General features: G+C 47.2%; 1 protein-coding gene across 1 annotated transcript in view, besides 4 other annotated features; it reads right to left on the bottom strand.

Moving 5' to 3' along the window:
* Positions 5,223 to 9,820, bottom strand: part of SOBP (sine oculis binding protein homolog) — a 171,190-nt gene continuing 166,592 nt past the window's right edge. The window contains exon 7 of the mRNA NM_018013.4: positions 5,223 to 8,322. The gene's annotated coding sequence lies outside the window, so the exon portion shown is untranslated. The remainder of the gene's footprint in view (positions 8,323 to 9,820) is intronic.
* Positions 7,846 to 8,422: an enhancer, noted in NCBI's record as "H3K4me1 hESC enhancer chr6:107979311-107979887 (GRCh37/hg19 assembly coordinates)". NCBI's record gives its function as "activates a minimal SCP1, AML or CMV promoter by ChIP-STARR-seq in naive H9 embryonic stem cells {active_cell/tissue: H9 hESC(naive)}" and the evidence as "EXISTENCE:reporter gene assay evidence [ECO:0000049][PMID:30033119]".
* Positions 8,195 to 8,384: an enhancer, noted in NCBI's record as "active region_24905". NCBI's record gives its function as "activates an Ori minimal core promoter by ATAC-STARR-seq in GM12878 lymphoblastoid cells {active_cell/tissue: GM12878}" and the evidence as "EXISTENCE:reporter gene assay evidence [ECO:0000049][PMID:35858748]".
* Positions 8,423 to 9,000: an enhancer, noted in NCBI's record as "H3K4me1 hESC enhancer chr6:107978733-107979310 (GRCh37/hg19 assembly coordinates)". NCBI's record gives its function as "activates a minimal SCP1, AML or CMV promoter by ChIP-STARR-seq in naive H9 embryonic stem cells {active_cell/tissue: H9 hESC(naive)}" and the evidence as "EXISTENCE:reporter gene assay evidence [ECO:0000049][PMID:30033119]".
* Positions 8,625 to 8,674: an enhancer, noted in NCBI's record as "active region_24904". NCBI's record gives its function as "activates an Ori minimal core promoter by ATAC-STARR-seq in GM12878 lymphoblastoid cells {active_cell/tissue: GM12878}" and the evidence as "EXISTENCE:reporter gene assay evidence [ECO:0000049][PMID:35858748]".

Here is a 9,820-nt window from a genome sequence, read left to right as displayed (position 1 = left end):
GAGCAGAGAAAAATACGGCCTTTGTTTCTGGTTTGATCGTCCCCACCGAGCTAAGCTGAGGTCATGCGTCGTTTTCTGTCATCAACAAGATAAAAGTTTGCACCTTTCTGGCCCTGAAATGTCTCTCCTGCCATTTATATTAAGGCCAAGAAGCTCTCTGGCCCAGAATCGGAGGGCCAAGTTTGTGGAGAGCTTAGATTTGGAGTCCTTTTCATCTTTCTGACATGTGATACCGTGACATAGGCAGCCCTTGCGGGGTTGCTATGCAGATATACAATTTCTGAAAAGTTACACCCGGAAAACGAAAACCCTGGGCTGGATTAGCATTTCACAAAGAACAGGGAGAAAATGTGTAGCAGTTAGGCTAAAAAGCTAAAAAAGAAAAAAAAAGTGAATTAAAGTTTCATGAAAATGAACTCTTTTTTAAAGGATCAATAAGTATAAAAGTATCTTATTTCATTCCTGGCCTTCGGTCCGAGCCCTAATCCAGCCACTGTGTGCGAAGGAGATACTGTGAGGCCTGTGATGGAGATTGGGAAGGGAGGTCTTGGTGTGGGGTGAGGTTCAGTCATGCTGGGGAGTGTGAAATTAAAGGGCTTAGGTACGGTCCTGCTGTTTTATAAAACTCTTCTTTTTCCCTCTCTACCATTGTTTTCATTGTTTTTACTTTGTACCAAGCCTTCTCTTTTGTTTAAGTAAACCTAGAAAGAAGAATAAAAACAAACACATAGTCTAAAGGTTCTAGCTAAATAAGTTTCAGTTTCTACCTTCCTTTTCTTTACCAATGTCAAAGGCATGCCTTCCAGAGCTCACTCACTCACAACCTAGCCTTTCCTAAAAAGTGTTTTTCTCAAGTATTTCCAACACCAGAAATCATTTTACATGAAACATTAAAATGGAATGTGATTGTTTGCATGAGACGTAGGAGACTGGAAATAATGAGAGGTTTTTCCTGTTATCCCTGAGACCTAGTGACTTCCAGCTGAGACCCTTACATGCCGTCCTGTGAGCCAGCCATGTCCACACAGCTGGAGAGGCGGTGGCCCCTCGCCTGCTGCTCAGGACTCCAGGACACCCCAACAGTTTTAACTGCAGAAGGTCTGGAGGGAAGCCCAGAGCAGGAAATAGGAAAGGGGGTTTTGAAGGACACAGAGGACATGGAGAAGATTCAAGGAACTCAACTGATACTGCTCCAACGGTGGATGAGAGGCACAGCAGCCAGGGAGCTAGACGCCAAACAACTCCGCCTGTCCATGCAGAAGGCAAAGATGCCTTACCCTGACCCTTGCATTCAGGAGCTCCAAGGCTGGTTAGAGGAAAGCAGAGGAGGGGAAATAAGAACAGTAAAGGGCCACAGAGTGGATCTCCTTAGGCATTCTTACTTATTAGATTCTGAAGCGGCAATGTTTGCACAGAGTTCTCTCATAGAGGATGGGAATTTATGGGAAGTTTGTTAGGTTAAAAAGAGATGGGCAATTGACTTTTTCTGTAACTCAAGAGATGAGAATCACTGTTACGCTCCTCTGTGTCACCTCCAAGGTTGATGCTCTCCAAGATGAACTGACACGTGTGAAAGTGAAATGAGGTATTCAATAAACTGGCTCTGTTCTCATGTACACAGCACGTAGACATCCATCCATCCACAAGAGAAAGGCCCAAATGGGAGTGTGCAGTGAAGTGTGGGCTCCGAGCTCACACTCCCCAAGTATAGTTCCAGGCTGTGCCACAACTGTGTGCTCAGTTTCCTCATCAGTAAAATGGCAATACTAATACCGACTTCATAGGGTTGTTGTGAGGTATAAATGAAGTAATGCAACTAAATGATGTTTAGCAATCCTTGGAGAAATGTACATTACAATTAACAGTGGTGTCTATTCCTTCTTGTAGGAGTTCACTGTCTGTTGATTTGGCCCGAATCTGCATGTGAGGAACAGATGAGGAAGGAGAGCATCATCTGTTGCCTGAGGTCTGAAGCAAGATGGAATGGCATTATCAGACATGCATCACATTGGCTGATTGAGATCCAAACTGAGTTATGAGCTGAGTTGATGCTGGTATTTCTGCATCCATCAAGAGCACCGACTGCCCTTGGGGGCAGTGGGTTCAAATCTGGGCTCTATTACATCCTAGCTGAGTGGCTGAGCAGATCACTTAACCTTCCTGGACTGTATTTTCCTCATCCAGAAATGAGGATCACACTGCCTGTATCACATGGTTTTGTGAGAACTGCCTGAGATAGTCCAGGTGAATGTTGTGGTGCCTGGCACGTGGAGGTTCTCAGCATGTATGTCCTTTCATCCAGTCTTTCAGCTGGTCAACTGGGGATCCGAGGCATAGCCCAAAAGTGACCATGGGGCTTGGAGTCAGCTCCCTGCACTCTGGGCAAAGTGACCCCACGTGGGTCCCAGTCAGTGCGGCCCCGGCAGCTCTACTGGTGCTCCTGTTCACCGTCCCATCTCAGCAAGTGCCGGGGGGGAGGCTCGGTGTGCAGTTCAAAAAATCGGAACAATGGGAAGTGGAAAAAGCCCCTGGCTCACGTGCCGTCTGCTCCCTACCCCAGGAAATGGAACACATGTGCCAAAGTGTCCTCACTCCTCTTCCCTTCTCTGAGCTATGACACAGGCCCCCAGCCCCTCTCCTTCAAGTGTTACCTACAGATACCTTGACAGTCCTATTTTAGATCTTGTCCAAAACCAGGTGTCAGGAGAAGTAGCAGTCATTTTTTTTTCTCCAAACCTAATATGATAGTCAAAGATGTCTTGATCTCATTTGGTTGGTTTAGGCACCAACTAAACAATCATAACTCTGCCCTATGGCCTCAACTGCCAAGCGCCTCAGGCCATAGTGAGGCAGCTTAGCCCTGGAACCCACTGCTGGGTCCTGCCTCTTACTATTTGTAACGCCTTGGACAGAAAACCCCTTTGTCTTCATGCCTCAGTTTCTTTGGCTATGAGACGGGGATGATGATACTATCACTCCCTCACTGGGCTGACGTGAGAATTACATGAATGACTGTCAGCAAAGCCCTTAGCACAGGGCCCTGCACAAAAGAAGCACCTAATGGCTGGGAGTCACCTCTCAGCCAAAGTCCCCCTTCGCTAGAAGAATGACATACACAGGTGGCAACTGTTCTTTCCACCCACAGTCGAGAGATAGAAGAAGAGGCATTTTCTGGGTACTGAAGACTATTTTCCATCTATAAATGTGTCCAAGGGTCAAGGAATTATCTCATCTCAAAGGCACTTTTGGCAAAACGCGTAACAATTGCATGACCTGGAATCAGCATTCAGCACAAATGCAAGGGCAGTGGCTGAGTCTTATCCCATTTGTGTTGCTCCCAGCACTTAGTACTGGCCTTGCATTCAGAAGCCCCAAGTGTGCTGCTGACTGGCTGCCTTGGGAGTAGCACTGACACCTCCCTCAAGGACTGGAAACAAAAAATGAAACTCCGGAGTCTTTCTGTGTTTGCTGCACAACTGCTCTGATTTCCAGGGTCTTACTGTCTTCTACCGTCATTAGGCTAGTAGAATAAAAGTGGTTCAACTCAGCCAACACTTTCAGTTCCAAGAGCAGTGAGTAGCTCTTCAAGGATGCAAAGTGAAGAGGGCCACGGTGCGTCCCTCCAGTGAGCCGGGCAAGGTGGGAAGACTGTTCAGCACAGTGCCAGAAGTGGCCTCTGTCCATTTAAACATGGGTCATGGAAGCCCAAGGGAGAAGCAATTAATTGCCCCTCAGGGATTCAAGTTTGGCTTCGTGGAGGGGTGGCATGTAAACTGATCCTTGAAGGAGATGGCTTATTAGTTTTTAAAATAAATAATGACAATGAGGGCTTTCCGGGGGCTGTGCATGTGCTCAGGAGATGAGAGGCAAATAAGACACAATCCCCATCCTCAAGGACTTTGCAGACTGGTAAAGCGCACAGACAGATGAGCGGCTGGAAAAGCTGAGTATGATCTGCATCAGGGCAGAGGTCAGCACAGAGGGGGCGCCTGCCCCAGCAGGGGAGGGGAGGAGCTGGTCCATGCAGCTTCCCAGGGAAGACCTCATCTGAGCAGCTGGGCTGCAGAAATTGCCCAGGGAAGAGGAAGGAAAGACATACCATGTGCAAGGCACAGGAGGGAGAGAGAGCAGGGGCATAGGAACAAGTTCCTAGTTCTAGGCAGGTGTTATGTTGGCAAGGCTGGTGACAGGGAGTGGGAGTGGACTCGGCTGGGAGGCAGCAAAAGCCAGAGTTGGGAGGGCTTTGCATGTTATACCCTGCCCTTGACTTTGACTTCGTAGGCTACAGGGAACCACTGAAAACCTGCAAGGAGGTATTACATGTCTCAGGGAGGGTCCCTATTGAAGCTGTTAAAGGAGGCTAAGCATCTGGCCCTTGGGGTACACGGGGTGGCTGAGGAGGGGAAGGACTTCGCCAGAGTCTTCAGTGCCTATGTACCTGAGCCTCAGTCTGGTCTTTTGTTGTGCCATCTGGGCGGCATGGCCTGGTACTTACAGGTCTACTTGTGGCTCAAGGTGCCCATCCCTTATCAGGGGAGCACCTACCTGCAGGGGAGGGCAGCTTTGCAAAGTTATGAATCCAGGCTCCAAACGTGTGATTACATAAACCCTGGAAAACATTGACAGAGTGTCCTAGTGAGACCAAGAAGTGGTCCATCTTTTCCACAGCCCTATCCTCCCATCAAGTATAAACCACTAGGGCAGGGACTGTGAGTTTTCTTCCTCTCTGGCCTCCCCTCAGCATCAGGCATGGGGCTTTGTGTTCTGCGGGGGGTTGATAACCACCAAGGAAAATCCCGCCTGACTCATTTTTCAGAAAGCAGAATGTCCTCTGCAAGTCCCCGCATCCAGTAAGGTGAGGCGTGCACTCACCATTAACATGCAATCTTCTGGCTTGGTTTAAAATGAGGACCACTTTTGAATAAAACTGAATCACTACCACACATTTACAGGAAGTCGAAGACTCTTCATGAAGATGTCAACAGTTTTTCTCCACACTGGAGGTAGGGGCTGGGTACTGGTGCCAAGCCTCCTGGGCTTGAATCCCATTCGGCAACTCACTAGCCCTGTGACCTTGGGTGATTACTAAACTGCTGAGCTCCAGGTTCTTTGTATTTATAATAAAGAGAAAATAAAGGCCCTTCCCATAGGGAAGGTTATTGTGAAGATTAAATGAGACTAATGTGCAAACGCTCGACACGTATTCACACTTACATACATTATTGTTTCTATTTCTCTTTATATATGGTTTTGATATCCCAAGAGAATTGTGCATTCAGACAGCAGTAAGATCGTGAGAAGGAAGAGGAGGAAAAGGGGTGCTGATGGCTTATGAGATGCCACAGAATCTTTCTATGCTGGAACAAAGGTACCTTTTGTTTCCAGAAGGGTCAAAATGTTTGCTTGACAATCTTGGACTACAGACAAAAGCAAAATCAATATCCTGGATGACTGTCTCCATGGCCAAGACCAGATGAATAATGCTATCAGGACAACCACAGCCGGGTGCCTCGGCCGCTGGCACGTCCTTGGCTGGGCTTGCCTCGGCAGAGTTCAGACGGAGTCACCGCCATAAATATAACTCTGCACCAGGAAGCCTCCAAGATTCTCTCGGGCTCCATGGGAGAAGAAAATCAGGTCTCCGGAATCCACAGGATGATCACTTCAAGGGAGCTGCTCGTGGTGCCTCAGATTTTAATGAACATTCATTTTTTTGAGAAGCTAAATCAACTAAGTGCGAGACTCTGAACAGGTCGAGTTGCTTTTCTAGGCTTCTGTTTTTTCATATGTAGAACAAGAGAACTGAACTAGATTTACAATGACTAGAACTAGATATTAGCATACTTTCCACCTTAGGAACTTTCTGATATTTAACTCAGGTATCAAAGAGCCAAACGGACCCACCCCATTCACATAAGGCTGAAATAAAAGTCTCTCTAGTCAGTGGGGTGAGATGGTGTGTGGATGTGAGTGGAACCCGTGGAGCATGTTTGCCTCCATTTGATGGTGCTTCTTGAACCTCAGGCCTGAACCCTTGGAGCCAAAAAAGATCAGGACTTGAAGAGCACTTGGAAGGGACACCACACCTGGGTCTACAGCCTAAACACTCACTTCCCATGCACTGTGTGCTGTCAGTGATGGGCATGGTTAGGAAGCAGGCCCTGGAACGGACGGAGTGGGCTCTTGTCTGCAGACAAGCGTGGTCTAGCAGGTCAGGAAGAGACAGTGCCATCCCAGTAGCTTACCATCTTTTAAAACTCCTTAGTTCTATTTTTTAAAATGTTTCCCAGGGGGAGAAAAATGAACACCTCTGTAATAAAACAAAAAACAAAAAACAAAAAAAAACAGTAGTCATAATAATGAGAAAAGCCAAATAAGCACATGTAAGTGCATTTTTTTTCTTCGAGATTTATTTTTTGTTTGATGAATCTGACACCAGTCAGGGAGAGGAGAATGTTGTGACCCAGCAGAAAAATATGGCCCCAGAGGAGGGGCGGCTTCTTCCTGCCTGGGTGGGTTTGGTGCTGGGGTTGATTTGTTATTATTTTTTAATTTGTTGCTGGAAGGTTTTCTTTTGTTTACTTTTATAAATCTCTCCCCGGGCTTGCGAGCTTCCCCTCCCTCCCGCCTCCCCTTCCCCTGCCCCCAAATTTCATTTTTAAAAAGCGAGCTTGCTCGCCAGGTGTGTCCCCCAAGCTCTCACAGCTCTAATAAATAAGGAGCACCTGTAAAACAGTAGCTTGACTTGTGAAGTGACTCTGTACAAAGGAGAATCTAGAAATACAGTATGTACACCGCATCCTTGGGCCGTGGTGCTTCAAGGCTGGCGCCACACCGTCCTGGCCCTGCCCACCCGCAACTCGCCACCCCTCCTGCTGAGGCTCCGCGGCCTTGTGGGGCGGGGGCACCTGGACCCCTCCAGAGGGAACAATTGCTTTATTTGAGTTAGTAAACAGATACACTGAATCACAAGGTGATTTGATTTTTTTTTTTTTTAGTTTTCTTCCTTTTTTGATTTTTTTCTTAATTTTTTCTCTTCTTTTCTTTTTCTTTTTTTTTCTGTACTCATCAGAATGGGATACTCCACAACTGTCTCACCAACTCAGTGCCAGTACACATGCTCTAGAGGACTTCTGGACTCGCAGCTACAACTGTACAAGTGCACACAAGTGAATCTACCCTGTTATCCTCCACCCACTGATTGAGGATCGAATTGCACATTTCTCTTAACCATGACAGGAGAAAGCAAACAGTGAAACAGAATCATGGGTGATCTTTCTCACTTTCCCTCTTGTTTTCATTGGTTTGTCCATACCATTCTAATTATCATGAAAGGGCTCTGCATATAGAGAGATTGTCTCACTGACTTCCTGGATCACCGAAAACCATCAGGGTTGAAATTTCATCTGAGTCTTTCCTGACGCCCAGCAAATATTCCCCCTCGGATTATTTTACACCTTGAGGGCATTTTGGTCTTCAGTTCAACACTCTTGCTCTGTTCCCAAATGGGGCGCTATTTAGGGGAATTTAAAGAGAAAGCTGAGAAGAATAAACATTTACCGAGTTCTCTTGGCATTCAGTCTCTGAAAAACCACAGTATAAACTATTCATGCTGCTTCTTACATCTGTCAAATCGAAAATTAAAAGCCATAAAAGTGTAACACTGAAAATATGGCATCAAAAAGGATAAAGGTGGCCTTTGTAAAAATAACAAGAAAAGTATATTAGCCAATAAAATATTCTAACTCTTCATTTAAAAGTGCATCCCGGGCAGGACAGAGATGACTCTGAAGCATTGGGCCTCCAGGACCACCCCTCTCCGCCATCAAAACGTGAACAATATAGGTCCAAAACCGTACAATGCAAATCACAATTCTTAGTGTAGCAGCAAAACCACAGCAGTTTTTAAAAAGATTAAAAAAAGATTTTTTGTGTTCCAATCCATATCATCTTCCAGCCTCAGTCGCTGAGCCTTGAAGATGGGGCGGGGAGAATACCTACATTGGTCCTTGTGGCTTGTCGGTATTTCGTTTTTTTTAAAAGCCAGGGGTGAAATCCCTAAGTTCCTCTGGGGAGAAGCAGAGATGGTGGCAGCAGGAAGGCTGGGCCTGCTTGGTGGGTCCAAGATGCGCGGGCTTCTCTGGGCTAGAGGCCATCGAGGGAGGGCTGCTTCCTCTGAGATGCTTAATGACAGGAAGCGGCTTTATTTGCTTGAGTTTTAGCCAGAGGGGGTGGTGAGCTGACCAGCTGGTGTCATTGGATGGCGTGACATGGTTTGCTCTGCGCCCTCTCTCCATGAGCGTACCCTGTGAGTGAACGTTCCTGGAAAAAGAGCAGAAGGGGCTGTCAGAATCCACTGGACCGATCCCCCTCCCTCCGCCCAGCTGGGGAGAACCCAGGCATGAGTCAGACAGCAGCACACTCTCCAGCCGCCAGGGCAGACCTAGGATGAGCCCCAGAACCGCTGCAGCACAGCGTGATTTCAACAGGAGTTTCATTCACGGTCTGCTCAGGTCAGCCCTGCCAGCTTTGTGTGAGGAAATGAAACTCAAGTCGCTTTTTGGAATACCATAATGAGTAGGGTACACCACGCCCTCACCCAAAGACCACAGCATCCTTTGCAACCCAGCAACCCTCCCCCTCCACATGACTGCATGCTTAACCAGCAGGAGGCTTTTTTTTTTTTTTGAGACAGGGTCTCGCTCTGTTGCCCAAGCTGGAGTGCAGTGGTGCAACTGGCTCACTGCAATCTCTGCCTCCCAGTTTCAAGTGATTCTCCTGCCTCAGCCTCCCAAAGTGCTGGGATTACAGGCATGAACCACCGCATCCAGCCCCAGCAGGAGGTCTTTTGAGTCACCCAAGGTCACTCCAAAGCCAGGCAAGGTCACGGAGGACCCTGGAGCTCCTGACCTCACTCCTGTAACCCCATGTCTCAGCTCTGGTATTTGCTGAAAAGAGGGCCAATAGATTCACTTTTTGGCAAGTGGAAAATTACCATGGACACATATACCTATCTTCAGAAGTTTCCCACAAAGGCAACTAAGCTGGAAGAAATGCTTGCTTTTCTCCGTGTGTGGGTCTTGCCTGTAAAAGGTGAGCCATTCACATCTCTTCACATCCAAAACAAACAGTAGCACTGGACTGGAAGAAAATAAATCAACCAAGAGCCTTGGGGTCCCAGGGCAGAGGCTCTGAACAGGATTTTCCACCAGGAAAGTCAGTTTCTGGGGAATGCTCATCCCAACATTCACCGAGATATGAGGCTCTGCCTCTTGATACCTGCAGCCTTCTTTCATTTGCCGCCAGTCACTTGGTTTGAAATAGAGCTTCCTGAGGCCACTCAGTCAGTTCTGGGAGCAGCCACTTAGAAGTCTGCCAACTGCATGGTAAAGCCCCAGAGGTCAGGGGCTTGTCTGTTTTGCTCGTGTCTCTACACCCAACTCGTAGCTCAGAGTCTGGCCCGCTGTGGGCGCTCGACACACTTTGATCACATGAGTGGGTCAGGCGCCTCTCTTCTGCCATGCCCCAAAACAGCACCTTTTCTTCCTGCCAATAAATGAGGCTGTCAGAAATGTGAATGGGTAAAATTTGGCTAAGGTGAGGTGGTGACAGAGGACTTGTAAACATCTTTACAACTGTTGAGATTATTCTTAGAACAATGAACAAATAACTTCAGAGAGGTGATAGAATGTAGGACTTGAAGGGACCCCAGAGATAATACAGTACCATTTCCTCATTTTATAGTGAAGAAATGGAGCCACAAAGAGACCTGGAAGCTTGCTTGGAGTGTTTATAACATGAATTTAGCAAGAGCAAGAGG

Source organism: Homo sapiens, chromosome 6 (assembly GCF_000001405.40).
Source record: "Homo sapiens chromosome 6, GRCh38.p14 Primary Assembly".
Taxonomy (NCBI): domain Eukaryota; kingdom Metazoa; phylum Chordata; class Mammalia; order Primates; family Hominidae; genus Homo; species Homo sapiens.
The sequence above is the reverse complement of the archived record's forward strand: the minus strand, read 5'-3'. Positions and strand labels throughout refer to the sequence as shown.